This window comes from Homo sapiens, chromosome 17, assembly GCF_000001405.40.
Source record: "Homo sapiens chromosome 17, GRCh38.p14 Primary Assembly".
Taxonomy (NCBI): domain Eukaryota; kingdom Metazoa; phylum Chordata; class Mammalia; order Primates; family Hominidae; genus Homo; species Homo sapiens.
In genome coordinates this window covers 41,753,173-41,773,387 of record NC_000017.11, presented here as the reverse complement: position 1 = coordinate 41,773,387, position 20,215 = coordinate 41,753,173, and the positions used below count along the sequence as shown (strand labels likewise).

The following is a 20,215-nucleotide window of genomic DNA, read 5'->3' as shown; positions in this document are numbered from 1 at the left end:
TTCCGGGTGTGCTCACGGCTGCCTGCCATAAAAGGCTGGGAGACCTGCAGGACCATTCGTCATCCTCCTGGAGGGCCAGGGCGGCACTGGGGCAGTCACAGGGAAGACTTATCCTTGGTGATCTTTGTTCCTGGGGTGGGGCCAGGTTGCCCCAGCCACCCCACCCTCACCTGGTCCCCATCACAGTGAGACAACCCGGGTGCTGCCTGGCTTCATGGGTGGACCAGCCTGAGTTCTGCTTACTCACTGAGGCTGCGCCGGGATGTGCAAAGACTACAGACCTTGGTGCCCTCACACCTGGTCCCAGTCCCAGCTCTGCCATTTCTAACCTCAGTTTCTGCATCTGTACGCGGGGGACCAGTGCATGGGCTTTGAAACCCGCCCATGAGCATGACGGTGTCTGTGAAAGGTCTGGCTCGTAGTAGGCCCTCATGGGATCACGGCGTCCATTCTCCCCGCAGCCTCTGACCTCTGCAGGTCAGTTCCCAGGACAGTGGAGCCAAACACAGACCAAGCGGGAAGTTCACCTCCCTGGTACAAAGTTCGGCCCTGCTACTCATTAACCTTCAGGTGCGCCTAAACCTTTGCAGAGAGAGAGAGGGGTTCCTGACGGCAGTGACCACCCACAGGCCTGCCCCACCCCAGATCCCTAGCCTGGGCTCGAGGAGACCAGGAGGTGAGGAAGCACTTCTGGAGGAGAGGCAGTGCTGATGATAATGGCCGTGGCCTCTGAGCACCTGCTATGCACCAGGTCCTCGCAACCACCTCTGAGGGAGGTGGCGTGACCCCGCTTTACAGATGAGGACACTGAGGTTCTGTGGGGAGAGGAACTGCCCCAGTAGTGAGTAGCTGAGATTTGAATTGCTCTGTGGGACTCAAAGAGGCGTCTAGGGACTGGGAGGGCTGGGAGAGAGGGGGCCTTAGGGTCTGGACCTCAGGGCCATGTGTGATCCTGCCCAACCTGTAGGAAAGCCAGATCCTGGAGTCTCTGAGGGAGCCTGGGGCGCTCCAGAGAAACCTGTCAGACCGCTTCCCTGCCCCGCCCAGTTTCCTGCCCAATGGCTTGGGTGCCTCCTCCCTGCAGCCTTTCCCAGGGAGCCCCAGTAGTTGAGGGTGGGCCCAGGGGACCTCAGAAGCTGCTAGAAGCCCTGAGTGCCTTCTCTTGCCCCTGGGAGAGTTGGGTCAGGGCAGCAAGGTGCGTGAGCAGGGGCTTCTGGCGGCAGCTGGCCCTTGACTGTCCTGCCCCCTGGGGCTCATCCCCCTGGGAGGTCAGAGATGCAAGCCCAGGACATACACACAGCCGCACCCCTGGGGCTCACTGCTCCCAGGGTATCTCGTCGTGGGCAGCCCCTCCCTGGGCCTGGTGCCCTTCTGGGCAGTCCCCCCATCCCCAGCCTGCATCCTCATTGAAATCCCTGGGCCATGGTGATGATGTGGGAAGACAGGCGGGGCTTGGTGACGGGCTGAAGCTGGGGGCTGGGCCAGGTGACTTCCTGCTTCCTGACTTCCTCCTTTGTGCCCCCAGTAGCCACGATGGAGGTGATGAACCTGATGGAGCAGCCTATCAAGGTGACTGAGTGGCAGCAGACATACACCTACGACTCGGGTATCCACTCGGGCGCCAACACCTGCGTGCCCTCCGTCAGCAGCAAGGGCATCATGGAGGAGGATGAGGCCTGCGGGCGCCAGTACACGCTCAAGAAAACCACCACTTACACCCAGGGGGTGCCCCCCAGCCAAGGTCAGGACCCCTGGGGACTATTGCATGGGGCAGAAAACCTGCCTGGGTCCTGGAGAGAGGTCAGAGTGAAAGGAGGCAGATTGTAGGGGGTCTCTGGTCTGAGGGAGGAGGCACAGCTCATGCTAACTAGGGGCCCACCCAGTCTGAAGGAGGAGGTGCAGCTACTTCAGGGTGCTGCATCTGGGAGGGTCACAGAATCCTCTTCTGTGAACCATCAGTAGGGAGGGAAGGCATAGTCCCTGCCCTTAGGGTGCCTCCAGTCTGAAGGAAAAGCCATAGTCCTTGCCTTCTGTGAACATAAGAATCTGATGAAGACATTGGGTACGGTGGCTCATGCCTGTAATCCCAGCACTTTGGGAGGCTGAGGTGGGCAGATCACCTGAGGTCAGGAGTTTGAGACCAGCCTGGCCAACATGATGAAACCCCGTCTCTACTAAAAATACAAAAATTAGCCGGGTGTGGTGGCGCATGCACCTGTAGTCCCAGCTACTTGGGAGGCTGAGGCAGGAGAATTGCTTGAACCCAGGAGGCAGAGGTTGGAGTGAGCTGAGATTGCGCCACTGCACTCCAGCCTGGGCGACAGAGTGAGACTCCGTCTCAAAAAATAGTAAAAAAAAGAGTCTGATGAGGATGTATCACTATGGCTCTCAGGGAGCCCATGGATGGCAGGGAGGACGCAGCCCTTTGGCTGCAGGAGCCTCACGTTTGTGGGAGAGCCAGGGCCGTAGCCCCCAGGAACCCCCAGGGATTCCCCTTTGGGTAGAGGGGTGTAGGTGTCAAGCCTGAGGGCCCCTCGTTGGGGTTGGAGGGAGACCAGGCCTCTGCGGCTGACCTGCAGATAGGCCAAGGCTGTGGGATGAGTGACTGACTCAGCTCTGGGGCTTAGTCCGGGATGGGGATGCCCCGCCAGCCCAAGCCTCCCCTGCCCCTCTGGGAGAGAGGAATAGCCAGGCCCTAGAACTGTTGGCCACAGGTGCCTCCAGGGCCCTGAACATGCCAGGGGGTGGGCTGTGGGTGCTGGGAGTAGTGTGAGTAGACTGTGGCTGGTGGGGCTCTATGGAGCTCAGCCCTCGCATGCCAGTCTCCTCCCTGACAGCTGGTAGGGGTAGCAGGGGGCCTTTTGGCTGGCAGGGCCAGGCACTGTGTTGGTAGCAAAAAGTACAGCATCCAGGTGGGAAAGCCATGCAGCTGTCTCCTCCTTCTCGACTAATTAGAGGGTGGAACCTCTGCGTCCCTCTCCCTGGGGGCATCAGGACAGTTGCCAGGGTGTGGCTGCTTGGGCACCTACCTGTGGGACTCCCAGACCCACCCAGGGGATGGAAGCTAGAGAGGAACCTGACGTCTCAGCTGAGGACCCAGCTCCTGCTCTCTGAACCCACAGCCCTGACTTTCCCTCTGATCTGCTGTGAGATGTGATGTTGGTGGTTCTCTGGGCCTCTGTTTGCCTGCCTGTATAGTGGGAGGATTGCTACCGTTGGGGATGATGAGGGTGTAATTAGACTCCTGAGATTTCAGGGTTGAAAACAGACCTGATGGGTAAGGGAGGAGAATAGAGTAGGGGTTTGGGCCCCTGAGTCAGGCTGCCTTATAACCCCTCTGTGCCCAGTTTTCCCATCTGTAAAGTGGAGCCAGTGATAGTACTTACCTTGCAGGGTCGTTGTCAGGTTATGTGAGAAAATATAAGCAGGGCATTGAATTCACTGCCAGGCACATAATAAGTGTGCAAAAAAAAAAAAAAATTCCCTTGATGGACAGAACATGTGGGGCCTATTTTACAGAGATTACTGAGGTGATGGTGACTTCCCCAAGGTTCCTGGTGAGAGGTAGAATGGCCAGTCATGTGCTGGGGGTTTGGGCAGGGCAAGAGGTAGCCCAGAGGACCCAGGTGGGGCTGTCTGTGGCCTGCCCTGCTCCCCAGTGTCTGCCCAGCCCACTGCCTGCACTCAGTCCCTGTCCCCATGGCCCCCAGGTGATCTGGAGTACCAGATGTCCACAACAGCCAGGGCCAAACGGGTGCGGGAGGCCATGTGCCCTGGTGTGTCAGGCGAGGACAGCTCGCTTCTGCTGGCCACCCAGGTGGAGGGGCAGGCCACCAACCTGCAGCGACTGGCCGAGCCGTCCCAGCTGCTCAAGTCGGCCATTGTGCATCTCATCAACTACCAGGACGATGCCGAGCTGGCCACTCGCGCCCTGCCCGAGCTCACCAAACTGCTCAACGACGAGGACCCGGTCTGTGAGGGTCCCTGCTAGGGTGGGGGCTGGGCAGGGAGGGGAGAGAGCAGATGTCCTCAGGGGAGGGACATTGTAGGGGTGGAGGGAGGTTATGACCCAGACTCTCCCGTGTGTGATGAGTCTGACTGGGGCCCTCCTCAGCTCTGTGGAAGGGTATCCCGGCCTCTCCTTAGTGCTCACGTCCCCGCCCCTGCCTTTGCCCTCCAGGTGGTGGTGACCAAGGCGGCCATGATTGTGAACCAGCTGTCGAAGAAGGAGGCGTCGCGGCGGGCCCTGATGGGCTCGCCCCAGCTGGTGGCCGCTGTCGTGCGTACCATGCAGAATACCAGCGACCTGGACACAGCCCGCTGCACCACCAGCATCCTGCACAACCTCTCCCACCACCGGGAGGGGCTGCTCGCCATCTTCAAGTCGGGTGGCATCCCTGCTCTGGTCCGCATGCTCAGGTACCCAACCCTGCTCACTGCATGAGCCCAGGACCCCCTCTCACTTGGGCCTCTCCCCTCCCTTCCCTGAGCTTCCATAAATATCCAGTGAGCACCTACTATGTGCCAGGCAGAAGCACACCCCATCCGGGTGCTCGGTGGCTCACAGCCCAGCAGGGAACACAGGCATGTAAACAGCAGGTTAATGATCAGGATACGACACAGGCTATGGCAGAAGAGCATTGAGATTGCTCAAAGGTGGAATCGCTTAATGGCAGGGGATTGACAGATGAGTGGAGTTTGGCTAGTGCAGAGGAAGGGAAGAGTGTCCCAGGCAGAGGGAACAGCAAATGCAAAGTCCCTTGCAAACTTTCTGTTTCCTGGCCCCCTACAAAATGTGGATTGGCCTCATTTCTTTTTTTTTTTTTGAGATGAGGCCTTGCTCTGTCACCCAAGCTGGAGTGCAGTGGCGTGATCTCAGCTCACTGCAGCCTCCACCTCCTGGGTTCGAATGATTCTCCTGCCTCAGTCTCCTGAGTAGCTGGGATTACAAGCATCTGCCACCATACCTAGCTATTTTTTTTTGTTTTGAGATGGAGTTTTCCTCCTGTTGCCCAGGCTGGAGTGCAATGGCACAGTCTCGGCTTACTGCAACCTCTGCCTCCCGGGTTCAAGAGATTCTCCTGCCTCAGCCTCCCAAGTAGCAGGGATTACAGGCACCCACGACCATGCCTGGCTAATTTTTGTATTTTTAGTAAAAATGGGGTTTCACCATGTTGGCCAGGCTAGTCTTGAACTCCTGACCTCAGGTGATCTGCCCCCCTTGGCCTCCCAAAGTGCTGGGATTATAGGCGTCTGCCACCATGCCCAGCTCAATTTTGTATTTTTAGTAGAGACGGGGTTTCACCACGTTGGCCAGGCTGGTTTCGAACTCCTAACCTCAGGGTGATCCACCTGCCTCAGCCTCCCCAAGCGCTGAGTTTACAGACGTGAGCCACTGCTCCTGGCCTTATTTCTCATTCCCATACCAGGCTGGAAGCTCCCTGAAGGGGAGACACTGATTTCACTCCCCTCTGAACGCCTTGCAAGGCCTCTCTAATATGTGGCCTTCCACATGGTGGTTACTTAGTAGGGATCAGTGTCTAGGGGACCTACTGTGCGCTCAGCACAGGGCTGGGGACTCAGAAGCAGGAGGAGTCATTGTCCCAGTTGGGAGAAGAGAGGTGCTGTTTGCTTCATGCTTAAGAGCAGGGCAGGCTCAAGGAGTGATGAGATTTTAGCAAAGGGATATTTCCAGAGGGGCGTCAGTAGCGGGGAGGCTTCCTGGGGGAGGTGGGAACCCATGCCAGGCTCACATGTATGCCAGGCCTCTGGGACCTCAGCGTACTAACCCCTGCCCACCCCCCCAGCTCCCCTGTGGAGTCGGTCCTGTTCTATGCCATCACCACGCTGCACAACCTGCTCCTGTACCAGGAGGGCGCCAAGATGGCCGTGCGCCTGGCCGACGGGCTGCAAAAGATGGTGCCCCTGCTCAACAAGAACAACCCCAAGTTCCTGGCCATCACCACCGACTGCCTGCAGCTCCTGGCCTACGGCAACCAGGAGAGCAAGGTGGGCCCTCCCCAACTCTCCCGAGGCCTGAAGCCCACCCTTGCGCCATCTTCTATCCTGCACAGCCTTGGGCCGCTGCCCCCTTACTCCTTTTAGATGAGATATAGGTGCAGATATACATGCTTCATCATGCGACTGAATTGCCCAGAATTATTATTTTGAGGATAAGGGAAAAAAAAAATCACTCATCCTCATATAGCCACTATTGTCATTTCGATGTGCTTCCTTAAGAGCTGTTCTGTGGGCAGATTACAGATGTGTACACATCCTTGTCATCATAACAATCTGCAATATTGCATCTGTTTTCTGCCTGATTTTTTTTTTTTTTTTTTGAGACAGGGTCTCACTCTGTCACACAGGCTAGAGTGCAGTGGTGTAATCAGGGCTCACTGCAGCCTTGACTTCCTGGGCTCAGATGATCCTCCTACCTCAGCCTCCAGAGTAGCTGGGACTTCAGGCGTGTGCTACCACGCCCGACTAATTTTTTTTTTCCTTTTCTTTTCTTTCTTTTTTTTTTTTTGTTTGAGATGGAGTCTCACTTTGTCGCCCAGGCAGGAGTGCAATGGCACGATCTCGGCTCACTGCAACCTTCGCCTCCCGGGTTCAAGCGATTCTCCTGCTTCAGCCTCCCAAGTAGCTAGGATTACAGGTGCCCGCCACCACACCCAGCTAATTTTTGTATTTTTAGTAGAGACAAGGTTTCACCACATTGGCCAGGCTGGTCTCGAACTCTTGACCTTAGGTTGTCCATCTGCCTCGGCCTCATAAAATGCTGGGATTACAGGCATGAGACACCGTGCCCCACCCCCAACTAATTTTTTATAGAGATGGGATTTCTCCATGTTGCCCAGGCTGGTCTCAAACTCCTGGGCTCAAGTGATCTGCCTGCCTTGGCCTCCCAAAGTATCAGGATTACAGGTGTGAGCCACTGTGCCTGGCCTGTATGATGTTTAAAAAAAATTTTTTTTTGCTATATTGTCCTCAAAACCACCCTCTAATAATGACAGATTGCCTTTCCTTTCCCCTTTCCCCCTCCCCTTTCCTTTTTCCTTTTCCTTTTCCTTTTCCTTTCCCTCTCTTCCTCTCTTTCTTCCTTCCTTCCCATTCTTTCCTTTTCTTTCTTTTTTGAGACAGGGTCTCACTGTGTTACCCAGGCTAGAGTGCAGTGGCATGATCCTAGCTCACTGCATCCTCAAACTCCTGAGCTCAAGCATTCCTCCCATCTTAGTCTTCCTGATAGCTAGGACTATGAGAACATACTACTGAGCTAATTAGCACCCGGGCTAAGTTTTAAATTTTTTGTGGGGATGGTGTCTTGCTCTGTTGCCCAGGCTACCCTCAAGGAATCCTCCTGCTTCAGCCTCCGAAATGCTGGGATTAAAGTCATGGGCCACCATACCCAGCCTACAGATAGCATTTCATTAAGTGGAGACCTCAGGCTTTATTCTGAGGGAGGGTATTTAGATTGCTCCTATTCCACCTTTATAAACAATGCTGTAATGAATGTCTAGCCTTTGTCAAAGAGCGGAAAAAATTCTCATCAATTTTTAACACTTCTAGGCTTTTCCCCAAATGGCCAGATTGATTTCCAGAAGGACTGGACTAATTTCCAGTGCCATAACTGGTAATGGGTGTGCATATAGTTTTGTCATGTCCTTGTCAGCACTGGGTATTATCCTTTTTTCAAAATTTTGGCTTACATAACAGTCATGAAACTATTGGGGTGGGCTGGGTGTGGTGGTTCACGCCTGTAATCCCAGCACTTTGGGAGGCAGAGGCGGGTGAATTGCCTGAGGTCAGGAGTTTGAAACCAGCCTGGCCAACATAGTGAAACCCTGTCTCTACCAAAAACTACAGAAATTAGCCGGGCGTGATGGCACACGCCTGTAATCCCAGCTACTTGGGAGGCTGAGGCATGAGAATTGCTTGAACCCGGGAGGCGGAGGTTGTAGTGACCTGAGATCGTGCCACTGCACTCCAGCCTGGGTGACAGAGCGAGACTCTATCTCAAAAAAAAAAACAAAAAAACTTATTGGGGTGCTTGGCTGGGTGTGGTGGCTCACATCTGTAATCCCAGCACTTTGGGAGGCTGAGGTGTGAGGATCACTTGAGGCCAGGAGTTCTAGACCAGCCTGGGCAGCATAGTGAGACCCCCATCTTTATAAAAAGAAAAAAATACATTAAAAGAAAAAAACGAACTATTCGTGCTTTAGCTGAAGCTCAGTAATGACAGTTCTGTCTCCTGTCCCGCGCTTCCTTGTTCCTGTCATATTCCCCGTCCATCTCACACTCATTCCCTCTTTACCCATAGCTGATCATCCTGGCCAATGGTGGGCCCCAGGCCCTCGTGCAGATCATGCGTAACTACAGTTATGAAAAGCTGCTCTGGACCACCAGTCGTGTGCTCAAGGTGCTATCCGTGTGTCCCAGCAATAAGCCTGCCATTGTGGAGGCTGGTGAGTATGATGGCCTTGAGGGCGGCTGGGGTGGGAGCTCTGCCCAGCTGCCAGGCTCAGTCAGCCATGCTCCCCGTGGCTGATGGCACCCCTATCCCTGCCCCAGGTGGGATGCAGGCCCTGGGCAAGCACCTGACCAGCAACAGCCCCCGCCTGGTGCAGAACTGCCTGTGGACCCTGCGCAACCTCTCAGATGTGGCCACCAAGCAGGTGAGGGAGGTATCTGGGCCTGGGGTTGACCTCTTCAGCTGCCCCATCCAGCCTCCTGTCTGGGCATCTGACCTGAGGTACTGTGGGAGGACTGGGGGCTCTAAATCTCTCTTCCTTGTGACTGAGGCTGGAAATGCCTTGAAAACCCTCATCTCTTTTTTTTTTTTTTTTTTTTTTTCTGACGGAGTCTCACTCTGTCACCTAGGCTGGAGTGCAGTGGTGCAATCTCGGCTCACTGCAAGCTCCGCCTCCTGGGCTCAAGTGATTCTCCTGCCTCAGCCTCCCGAGTAGTTGGGACTACAGGCACCTGCCATCATGTCTGGCTAATTTTTGTATTTTTATTAGAGACAGGGTTTCACCATGTTGGGCAGGCTGGTCTTGAACTCCTGACCTCAGGTGATCCACCCGCCTTGGCCTCCCAAAGTGCTGGGATTACAGGCGTGAGCCACCACATCCAGCAAAAGAACAGTTTTGACCTGGGCCCTGGGCTGGAGCAATAGTGTACCAAGAGACAGGCCCCCATGACTAAAAATACAATTTAAGGAAAAATGCAGCTCCAGGGCAAGTGCCCTGTGCCTCCTTCCAACAACCATTCCCCAGGCCTCCCCTAGCAATATGCTGTTTATCAAGTGCTCACCCTGTGCTGGCCCTCTGCGTGGCATTTGTGGACAGTAGCTCATTCAACCTGGGGTTAGAGTGTGGGACCCTGTGGGTTAGATGAAGACACTGAGGCTCGGGGAGCTAATGGCCATGGTCACAGGTAGTAAATGGCAGAACTGGGATTTGAACCCAGGACTGTCCGTCCCCAAAGCTGGGGTTTTTCTGTTCCACCACAAGGCCCACGTGTCTCCCTGGGAGAAGTGAGATAGACGTCTGAGGTAGTGATTTTACTGGAAATGGATTTGGCTCAGGGCCCCAGGGTGGTGGGGCAGCAGTGAAGGCCCAGAAAGGTGACAAGCGAGTAGACATGGCTCAGCTGGGCCACTGAATCATGCGGCCCCCTCAACAATTGCCTCCTGGTCTCGAGGCCTCCCTTGGCCACCGTACTTTGGCCTGAGGAGGGTTCTGCCTGGGTCTGAGGGCCCCAGGGAAAGGCTGATGAGTTGGAGGGAAGAGATGTGGGGCTTAGAGCCAAGCCTGGGTTCAGATCCAGCCACTAGCTGTGTGTCTGTGGGCAAGTTCCCCAACCTCTCTGAGCCTCATTGCCTCACTTGCACCACAGGATAGTAACGCCCTCTCACAGGGTGTGGCGGGTCATAGGGATGAAAGTTCCCGGGCACACACAGGCAGGGCTGACCCCTTTAGGTCATCCCACTCCCCTTGGACATATTCGAGAAGGCTCCCTGGAGTTGGCTGCTCCCTGACTCCCCCGTCCCTTCCTTGCCCTCCAGGAGGGCCTGGAGAGTGTGCTGAAGATTCTGGTGAATCAGCTGAGTGTGGATGACGTCAACGTCCTCACCTGTGCCACGGGCACACTCTCCAACCTGACATGCAACAACAGCAAGAACAAGACGCTGGTGACACAGAACAGCGGTGTGGAGGCTCTCATCCATGCCATCCTGCGTGCTGGTGACAAGGACGACATCACGGAGCCTGCCGTCTGCGCTCTGCGCCACCTCACTAGCCGCCACCCTGAGGCCGAGATGGCCCAGAACTCTGTGCGTCTCAACTATGGCATCCCAGCCATCGTGAAGCTGCTCAACCAGCCCAACCAGTGGCCACTGGTCAAGGTACTGCTGTTAGGCGAGGGGAAGGAGCTCCCTGCAGCAGGCTTAGGTGCTGTATTGGTATAGGCAAAGCCGCTGTAGCAAAGAAGCCCTAAATACAGTGGCTCGAATAAGACAGAAGTTTATTTCTCTCTCGTGTAATAGTTTAGACCTCAACAATGGCTCTGCTCTAAAATTCCAGAATTGGGATTTCTATCTTGTAGCTCTACCAGCCCCTAGGGCAGAGCTCAGAGTTCAAAATGCACATGAGTACCCTGGGTGGTTTCATTAAATTGCAGGTTCCAGGGCCAGGCACGGTGGCTCATGCCTGTAATCCCAACACTTTGGGAGGCAAAGGTAGGAGGATTGCTTGAGGCCAGGAATTTGAGACCAGCCTGGACAACATAGCAAGACCTGTCTCGACAACAATAACAACAACAGAAATTAGCCAGGTGTGGTGGTGCACGCCTGTGGTCCCAGCTACTGGGGAGGGGAGGCTCAGGTCGGAGGATCGCTTGAGCACAGGAGTTGGAGGTTACAGTGAGCTATGATTGCATCAGTGCACTCCAGCCTGGGTGACAGAGCAAGAACCCGTGTCTTAAAAGAAAAGAAAAACAGGAGGCTGGGTGCAGTGGCTCACATCTGTAGTTCCAGCACTTTGGGAGGTGCAGGCAGAGGCGGAAGCGGAAGGATCACTTGAGGCCAGGAGTTTGAGACCATCGTGGGTAACATAGTGAGACACCCATCTCTTACAAAAAATTTGGAAAAAAAAAAAAGCCCAAACAAATAAACAATCTAAAACACACACACACACACACACACACACACACTCTCTCTCTCTCTCTCTCTCTCTCTCTCTCTCTCTCTCTCTCTCTCTCTCTCTGTCTCTCTGCAGGCCTGCTGCAGAGGGCTTGCCATTCTGTATGTCTTTTTTTTGTTGTTTTGAGACAATGTCTATTGCCCAGGCTGGAGTGCAGTGGTACATTCTTGGCTCACTGCAACCTCTGCTTCCCGGGTTCAAGTGATTCTCCTGCCTTGGCCTCCTGAGTAGTTGGGATTACAGGTGCACGCCACCATGTCTGGATAATTTTTGTATTTTTAGTAGAGATGGGATTTTGCCATGTTGCTCAGACTGATCTTGAACTCCTGAACTCAAGTGATCCACCAGCCTCAGCCTCCCAAAGTACGGGGATTACAGGTGTGAGACACCAGGCCCGGACAATTCTGTATTTCTTCTTTTTTTTTTTTTTTTTGAGACGGAGTTTTGCTCTTATTGCCCAGGCTGGAGTGCAATGGTGCGATCTCGGCTTACTGCAACCTCCGCCTCCCGGGTTCAAGCGATTCTCCTGCATTTTTTAGTAGAGACGGGATTTCTCTATGTTGGTTAGGCTGGTCTTGAACTCCTGACTTCTGGTGATCCACCCACTTTGGCCTTCCAAAGTGCTAGGATTACAGGTGTGAGCCACTGCACCTGGCCCAATTCTGTATTTTTAACAAGCTCGCAGGTGCTGCTCCATGGAGCACATTTCTTATGCCACTGGGTGTAGACGAGAGGGTTGTCCTCACACGAATGAGTGGACTGTATCATCCCCACGGATGTGTTCTAGCCCTGAGAACTGGGGATGGCTAGCGGCCACCAGAAAGTGGCACACATCACTCCTGCTCACACCCCAGAACTTGGTCATTCAGCCACATCAAGGTGCAAGGAGGTTAGGAAGTGTGATCACCAGCCAGATGGCCGTGTGTCCTGCTGAAAATCAGGAGAGCCACTACAGAGACACAGGGCACAGAGGATTCTGGGGACGCTTAGCATCTCCCATAGGGAGTTGGGTGTGTGAAGGAGTGGGGTCTTCTTCTTGAGGCTACCTGGGTGGAAGAGAGCTAGCTGTGTGTCACTTCCCTGTCAGGTGGGGGAAGTGAGAGTGGGTCAGGGTGTGGGCAGACCCAAGGGACAGAGTTATGGGGGAAAGCGTTTGTGTGTGTGTATATCTATATGTAGAGACAAGGAAGGCAGCCAAAGGCAAGGTGGCATCTGGTGCCAGAGAGTGAGGAAGCTACCATCGATGAGGGTCTTGTCAACGGGCACAGGAGCCAGCTGGCAGGGGCATCCGCCAGCTACATTTAAGACAATTTAATAGTACAGACAGGCCAGGCGCAGTGGCTCACGCCTGTAATCCCAGCACTTTGGGAGGACGGGGCGGGAGGATTACCTGAAGTTAGGAGTTCGAGACCAGCCTGGCCAACATAGTAAGTCCCCGCCTCCACAAAAAATACAAAAATTAGCTGGCCATGGTGGCATGTGCCTGTAATCTCAGCTACTCGGAAGGCTGAGGCAGAAGAATTACTTGAACCCGGAAGGCAGAGGTTGCAGTGAGCTGAGATCGCTCATTGCACTCCAGCCTGGGTGACAGAGAGAGACTCCGTCTTGGAAAACAAAAACAAAAAACATGGCCAGGCGTGGTGGCTCACGCCTGTAATCCTAGCACTTTGGGAGGCCGAGGCGTGTGGATCACGAGGTCAGGAGATCGAGACCATCCTGGCTAACACGGTGAAACCCCATCTCTACTAAAAAAATACAAAGAAATTAGCCAGGCGTGGTGGCGGGCGCCTGTGGTCCCAGCTACTCAGGAGGCTGAGGCAGGAGAATGGTGTGAACCCGGGAGGCGGAGCTTGCAGTGAGCTGAGATCGCGCCACTGCACTCCAGCCTGGGCGACAGAGCGAGACTCCGTCTCAAAAAAAACAAACAAAAAAACAAACAAACAAAAAAAACCCAGTGCAGATAAGAATGACTCTAAGTGATTCTACACATTGAATTATTATTTTTTATTATTATTATTATTTTTGAGACAGATTCTTGCTCTGTTGCCCAGGCTGGAGTGCAGTGGCATGATCTCAGCTCACTGCAACCTCCGCCTCCCAGGTTCAAGCAATTCCCGGCTAATTTCTGTATTTTTAGTAGAGACGTGGTTTCACCATGTTGGCCAGGCTGGTCTCGAACTCCTGACCTAAAGTGATCTGCCTGCCTTGGCCTCCCAAAGTGCTAGGATTACAGGCGTGAGCCACTGCGCCCGGCCTATACATTGAATTAAAAAAAGAAAATTCATGTTTAGAAAAAAAAATGTCATTGTGACCCCTCCTTGATGCTTGGTCCCTGCTGCAAACCTGAGGTGGGACTTTGCATCCTAACCCAGCAGCTAAGTGGCAAGTGACTTTGGCAAGTCATTTGCCCTGTGCTCACGTCCCCATCTCACATGATTTTCATCCCTGTCCTCCTGGCGTCTTGTTTTGAGGATGAAATAGATGACACCTTGAGAGGCTCTGGGAGGCCAGAGTGGCTCCTCTGAGTCAAAGACCCTGGGGAGGAGATCTCAGGACACCTCTTTCCAGAGCTGCCCTGCTGGGGATTAATGACAATGTGAGCACCACCCAAGCAGGAGGCTTCGGGGGCACCTAGAGCACAGAATTCCTGAGAATCAGGCTTGGAGGACTATCAGAAAAGCAAGCAAGGTCATGGTGTCTGTGGGGGGTGGTTAAGAAAGAGGGGACAGGGTGAGGGGCCAGGCATGGGGCTGGCAGGATGTTCTGGAATGGGGTGTCATTTTAGCAAGGGCTATTAGAATTAGCCATGAGCAGCCGGACGTGGTAGCCCACACCTGTAATCCCAGCACTTTAGAAGGCAGAAGCAGGCGGATCACCTGAGGTCAGGGGTTCGAGGCCAGCCTGCCCAACATGGCGAAACCCCGTCTCTACTAAAAATACAAAAAATTAGCTGGGCATGGTGGCAGGCACCTGTAATCGCAGCTACTCAGGAGGCTGAGGCAGGAGAATCGCTTGAACCCAGGAGGTGGAGGTTGCAGTGAGGTGAGATTGCACCACTGCACTCCAGCCTGGGTGACAAGAGCGAAACTCTGTCTCAAAAAAAAAAAAAAAAAAGAATTAGCCATGAGCACTCCCAGATCCTGTGGATTAAGTGACATGGCTGGGATGGTCTCCTTCTCTGGATATTTTCCAGTATGTCTGTGTCTGGCCTCGGGGACAGAAGAGGTGAAGGAGGGAAGGGATACTTGAAGCTGGGAAGCTGGGATCCTTCAGATGTCCAAGAAGTGCCCCTGATCACTGCCCCTTTTTTTGCCAGGCAACCATCGGCTTGATCAGGAATCTGGCCCTGTGCCCAGCCAACCATGCCCCGCTGCAGGAGGCAGCGGTCATCCCCCGCCTCGTCCAACTGCTGGTGAAGGCCCACCAGGATGCCCAGCGCCACGTAGCTGCAGGCACACAGCAGCCCTACACGGTATGTGAGCTGGTGGTGCCTCTGACAGCCTTCCTGGGGGGTCAGGGTGTCCTCTGTGGGTGTGTGTGTGAATGGGGAGGTCAGTTGCAACTGATGCCAATTCCAAGAACCTGTGAAGTTCATTCGGCTGTCATGGGGAGGAGTTGTGGCCATGTCCAAGGCACCTGTCCCATGCCCCCTGCCTCCTCTCACACAGGATGGTGTGAGGATGGAGGAGATTGTGGAGGGCTGCACCGGAGCACTGCACATCCTCGCCCGGGACCCCATGAACCGCATGGAGATCTTCCGGCTCAACACCATTCCCCTGTTTGTGCAGGTGAGTCTGGGGCAGGTGGGCAGGAGAGGTCCCCCCACCACTGCTTAAAGGGCAAGGTTAGGAGTCCCAGATTTGGGAGGCCTGGACCAGGTATCAAGAGGTCTTTGGAGGAGTTTGGAGGAAAGTTGCCACTCCAGATTGACTACTTAGCAACCCCCTGCATGGGCATGGCTTTCTAAGCTTCAAAGCAAGGAAAGAGATCACAAATGGAAAAAAAAAACAAAAAACAAAAAAACTTGAGATTCAACCATATAAACATGAAAACCATCTGTATTTCAGAAAGAACCTAAAAAAGCATTTTTAAAAAATCAGCAAACTGGGAGAATATGTGCAAGTACCATAACAGACAAGAAGAGTCTAACATCTTTCACATCAGTGAGCTCATTAACACTAGATTCCAATGGTTAGATGAGGCAGAGTCACAGGTAATTTCAAGGTAGCTCATGAACAATGCTCAGCCCAGTTTAAAGCAGTAACACTTACTCCCCAGTGACGGCCCATTTTCCACTATGGAATTGCTACAGGGTGGAGGTGGGCAGTGCTGTGGGGTGTGTTGTCCGGCCTGCCTCACCCCTTTCCACCTCTCCCCTGCTTCCCACGTCCCCTCTCCCCAGCTCCTGTACTCGTCGGTGGAGAACATCCAGCGCGTGGCTGCCGGGGTGCTGTGTGAGCTGGCCCAGGACAAGGAGGCGGCCGACGCCATTGATGCAGAGGGGGCCTCGGCCCCACTCATGGAGTTGCTGCACTCCCGCAACGAGGGCACTGGTGAGCTGGGGGAGGGCAGGAGGCTGGGTCCCACTCCCCCAGCCACGATGGAGGCTGGCCGACGTTTAACCTGGCTTTTCCTTTCCTCTCTGCTCAGCCACCTACGCTGCTGCCGTCCTGTTCCGCATCTCCGAGGACAAGAACCCAGACTACCGGAAGCGCGTGTCCGTGGAGCTCACCAACTCCCTCTTCAAGCATGACCCGGCTGCCTGGGAGGCTGTGAGTATCCTAGGTTGGACCACAGTAGTTGGTTGTGCAAGTTGGGCACTGCCCATGGGCAACACTTTTGGGGGTCTCCTACTACTGTCAACTTCATAGATTTTTATTTTGTAATTGGATCATTTATAACAATTCCTAGCAGATGGAAGTAGTGGGTTGAATCATATATCCACAAAATGCCAATTTTTATTTTGCCCAAATGAGTATACAGTGTTTGAGGTGGGGGTGCCTTTTTGTAATTTGCGTGGAGGTGCTGGATAGGCTATGGGCGGTCTTTTCCAGGGTGGGGCAGTGCCCTGTACCCATTCTTGAGTCCTCTGCCTCCTCCCCTGAGCTGCTCTAGTCCGGCAGGAGTCCCTGCTTCATGAGTGGGGAACCCTCCTCCCTGGGGAGTACCGAGGACATGAGTATATCAGGGCACTGGGTGACCCCATTTCATCATCCTCTATTCCTCCAAGGCCTCTTTGCTTTTCTCCAGCCCCCTCTTTTATTTATTTATTTATTTTTATATTTTTTGAGATGGAGTCTTGCTCTGTCGCCAGGCTGGAGTGCAGTGGTGTGATCTTGGCTCACTGCAACCTCCGCCTCCCGGTTTCAAGCAATTCTCCTGCCTCAGCCTTCTGAGTAACTGGGACTACAGGTGCACGCTACCACACCCGGCTAATTTTTCTATTTTTAGTAGAGACGCGGTTTCGCCATGTTGGCCAGGATGATCTCGATTGTCTCCTGACCTTGTGATCCGCCCGCCTTGGCCTCCCAAAGTGCTGGGATTACAGGCGTGAGCCACTGCGCCCAGCCTATTTTTTATTTTTTTCGAGACAGAGTCTCACTCCTGTCGCCCAGGCTGGAGTGCAATGGTGTAATCTCGGCTCACTGCATCCTCTGCCTCCCCATTCAAGCAATTCTCCTGCCTCAGCCTCCCGAGTAGCTGGGATTACAGGCCTGCACCACCACGCCCAGCTAATTTTTTTTGTATTTTTAGTAGAGACAGGGTTTCACCATGTTGGCCAGGCTGGTCTGGAACTCCTGACCTCAAGTGATCCGCCTGCTGTCTCCCAGAGTGCTGGGATTACAGGCGTGAGCCATGGCACCCAGCCTGGCCCCCTCTTTTAGAAGCATCTCTCCCTGCCCACCAGCTGAGATCCAGCTCGGAGCCTGCATTTTCAAACCTCCCCTCCATGTTTCTCTCTCCTTTTTCAGGCCCAGAGCATGATTCCCATCAATGAGCCCTATGGAGATGGTAAGTGTGTGCCGGGCTCTTCAGGACCCTGGAGATCCTGGGCGGCTGTGTGGGTGTGTGTGAGGGGACAATATTATGTCTCCGGGGCCAGAGGACCAGTGGCAACTGCTGTGTGGCATCCACATGTACCCCAGTCTAGATGCCCTGGTGTGGGGTCTGGGGAGGGGTCAGGCCCACCAGGGGTGGGCATGGGTAGAGGAGGCAGCTGAAGGCTGTGCAGACTGCTCCCTGCAGGGTAGCTTGCAGACCCTAGGACCGAGCCCCACTTTTTGTCCCCAGACATGGATGCCACCTACCGCCCCATGTACTCCAGCGATGTGCCCCTTGACCCGCTGGAGATGCACATGGACATGGATGGAGACTACCCCATCGACACCTACAGCGACGGCCTCAGGCCCCCGTACCCCACTGCAGACCACATGCTGGCCTAGGCGGCCTGGCCCCAGTACGGCCCCCTCTTTGCAGGCTTTTCCTCCTCTCTAGAACCTCCTTCTGTTGGAGGCCCTCCCATCTCCCCGCTGAAACCTGCGCTCCTTTTTTGGGGGGATCCTTTGCTGCTGAGCTTCCCCAAGCACGGTGTGCCCTGGCCTGCCTTCTTCTTGTGTCTTTGGTGGGGATGGGGAGGCCTATTCCTGCTGGCCCCTTCTGGGGGTGGTGGGCAGGTGACACGGAGTGGCTTGAGCTTCTGGGGATGCAGGTCCACCGAGCCCCTGACCCCTGTCTGTCCCCGCTCCCCTAACAGGTGCGGTTCCTCATCTGAGAGGCTCTCCGTGCAGGCGATGGGGCAAGACAGAAAAGTGCCTGAGCTGGGGAAGCCGGGGTGTAACTTCCTGCTGCACCCTGCGCCTCCAGAGGTCCTCCGTAGGGTCTTTCTTGGGATAGTGTTCTGCTCCTGCTTTTCTGTCCTGGGCATGGGTCCAGGGCCTGACACCCCCTCCCCGCCCCTGTGGCCCTGGCCACTAAAGCTTCAGACTCAAGTACCCATTCTGTTTTCCCCCAGCAACGCCCCTCCAAACCTCCAGCCTCCCTGTCTCCAGCTGCCTGGGCCCGGAAGGGCTTTGGTTCCTTCTCTGGGTCTGATTTTCTCACTGAACTCCACCGACCAACTGCCCTAAGCCCCCAGGGCCTCCAGGGCCCAGGTTCGAGACCCAAACCCCCAAAATCCAAAACTTCTCTTGAAAAGTTCAGGGACCGTCCAGGGGAGATGGGGAGGAGATATGGAGTGAGTCACCTGCTCCAGAAGATGCCAGCTTCTCTCTCCAGGGTGCTTAGTTGGCTTTGCCCACCCCTCACTCCCCAGGGAGCTCTGGGGACAGCTTCCTCACACCCCTGTCCCACCCACACAGCTGCCCTAGCTGACCCCGAGAAGTGCTCTTGGCTGACCCCTCTGGTGTGTGGTGAGGGGCTTTCTCTTCCCCTTCCTGTTTCAGACCCCCCCATTTCCCGCACATGGTGTGGGGGGCTGGGGGAGGTCCAAGCAGAGTGTTTTATTATTATCGCTTTATGTTTTTGGTTATTGGTTTTTTTGTATAGACCAAAGCAAAGAAAATAAAAATAACACAGATGCGTTGGAGGCTGTTTAGGGGAGTGGGGTGGGAAAGTTGAGGGGCTTCCCTAGCGGCCTGGCGCCCTCTTTGCTGGGTCCTGCGGGTCCTCAGGGCTGCCTTGCATGTGGGAAGGACTAGAAGAGGCAAGCTGGGGAGCCAGGAGTGTTGGGGGAGCCGGAGTGGATTTAACCCAATATGCGCTTGTAGGGCGAGGACGGGGGAGGAGGTGAATGGGGATGAGTCCCTCACTTCGGGAGGCCAGGCCTTGTTTCTCTCTCAAACAGGCAAGCTCCTGGCTGGCTCTCCTCCCGTCCAGCCTTAAAGTGAATATGGCAGATGTCCCCGTGCGTAATGCTCCCCGAGGCTTATGGCTTTGGGTCCAGGCCCCTTGTTGGTCAGCTGTGGGCCCACCCCAGCTCCTGCCCACCTCCCCTCTTCCTTCCCCCCACCACCTACTCTGCCCTTAGCCGTGCCTGTGACAGCCAGCAGCCTCCTCCTGTTCTTTGTCCATGCTGTTCCCACTGTCTGGGTGCCTCCACTGTTCACCTGCCGGGATCGGCTCAGACCTGACTCCAGAAACACCTGCTCCACGACCTCCGCCCCCAGCAGGGATGAGCGGGTGCCCCTCCTGCTGTGCTCCACAATGCCCCGTGCACAACTGTCATTTCACCCATCACGTTGGTCTGTCCTTTAGCTCATGTGACAGTTCCCCCACCCACAACCCCAAATTCTCCTTTCTGAGGAGGTGCTGGTTACAATGCACCCGGCAAACCTGAGAACCTGTGGTGCCTATGTGCCTGCCCAGGGCCCAGTGCCTTCTTTCTACTCCACCTGGAGCTCAGGGCAGTGGAGGGAGGCCATGGCTTCATTCACAGAGGATTGGTGGGATGTGGGGCTGGGGCTGGAGACAGGGAGGTGCTTCCAATTAAGGGCTGGCTGTAAGGTCCAGACACTAGGTGATGAGACACAGAGCTGAGCTCTGCCGACTAGAGCCGGGGCAGCAGGGAGGGGACAGAGTTTTCAGAGCTCTGGAAGACCTAAAAATCTTTTAACAACGCCCACCCCGCAGCGTTTTTTTTTTTTTTTTTTTTTTTTTTTTTGAGAGTAGTTTCACTCTTATCTCCCAGGCTGGAGTACAATGGCACGATCGCGGCCCACTACAACCTCCACCTCTTGGGTTCAAGTGATTCTCCTGCCTCAGGCTCCCCAATAGTTGGGACTACAGGCGTGCATCACCACACCTGACTAATTATTTATTTATTTATTTATTTATTTTTTAGACAGAGTCTTGCTCTGTCGCCCACTCTGGAGTGCAGTGGCACGATCTCGGCTCACTGCAACCTCCGCCTCCCAGGTTCACGCCATTCTCCTGCCTCAGCCTCCCGAGTAGCTGGGACTACAGGGTTTCACCGTGTTAGCCAGGATGGTCTCGATCTCCTGACCTCGTGACCCACC

The 20,215-nt window shown here is 54.7% G+C and overlaps 1 protein-coding gene across 19 annotated transcripts in view, besides 2 other annotated features; it reads left to right on the top strand.

Annotated features, from left to right (window-relative positions):
- The window catches only part of JUP (junction plakoglobin), a 32,103-nt gene extending 13,324 nt beyond the window's left edge, over nt 1-18,779 (top strand). For 6 of the 19 annotated variants that reach the window (NM_021991.4, XM_006721874.4, XM_006721875.2 and 3 more), the window contains exons 2-15: nt 1,526-1,741; nt 3,711-3,970; nt 4,181-4,419; nt 5,808-6,009; nt 8,321-8,465; nt 8,572-8,675; nt 10,067-10,405; nt 14,518-14,673; nt 14,870-14,989; nt 15,604-15,754; nt 15,852-15,973; nt 17,174-17,213; nt 17,493-17,658; nt 17,956-18,779. In NM_021991.4, the coding sequence (NP_068831.1) occupies nt 1,534-1,741; nt 3,711-3,970; nt 4,181-4,419; nt 5,808-6,009; nt 8,321-8,465; nt 8,572-8,675; nt 10,067-10,405; nt 14,518-14,673; nt 14,870-14,989; nt 15,604-15,754; nt 15,852-15,973; nt 17,174-17,213; nt 17,493-17,644 (2,238 nt within the window). In that variant the 5' untranslated portion in view covers nt 1,526-1,533 and the 3' untranslated portion in view covers nt 17,645-17,658; nt 17,956-18,779. Of the gene's footprint in view, nt 1-461; nt 842-1,131; nt 1,196-1,525; nt 1,742-3,710; nt 3,971-4,180; nt 4,420-5,807; nt 6,010-8,320; nt 8,466-8,571; nt 8,676-10,066; nt 10,406-14,517; nt 14,674-14,869; nt 14,990-15,603; nt 15,755-15,851; nt 15,974-17,173; nt 17,214-17,492 lie in introns of those variants that run through there. The other 13 variants (NM_001352774.2, NM_001352775.2, XM_011524758.2 and 10 more) reach the window with 9 other exon arrangements.
- Nucleotides 1,173-1,676: an enhancer, noted in NCBI's record as "H3K27ac-H3K4me1 hESC enhancer chr17:39927964-39928467 (GRCh37/hg19 assembly coordinates)". NCBI's record gives its function as "activates a minimal SCP1, AML or CMV promoter by ChIP-STARR-seq in naive and primed H9 embryonic stem cells {active_cell/tissue: H9 hESC(naive and primed)}" and the evidence as "EXISTENCE:reporter gene assay evidence [ECO:0000049][PMID:30033119]".
- Nucleotides 1,677-2,181: an enhancer, noted in NCBI's record as "H3K27ac-H3K4me1 hESC enhancer chr17:39927459-39927963 (GRCh37/hg19 assembly coordinates)". NCBI's record gives its function as "activates a minimal SCP1, AML or CMV promoter by ChIP-STARR-seq in naive H9 embryonic stem cells {active_cell/tissue: H9 hESC(naive)}" and the evidence as "EXISTENCE:reporter gene assay evidence [ECO:0000049][PMID:30033119]".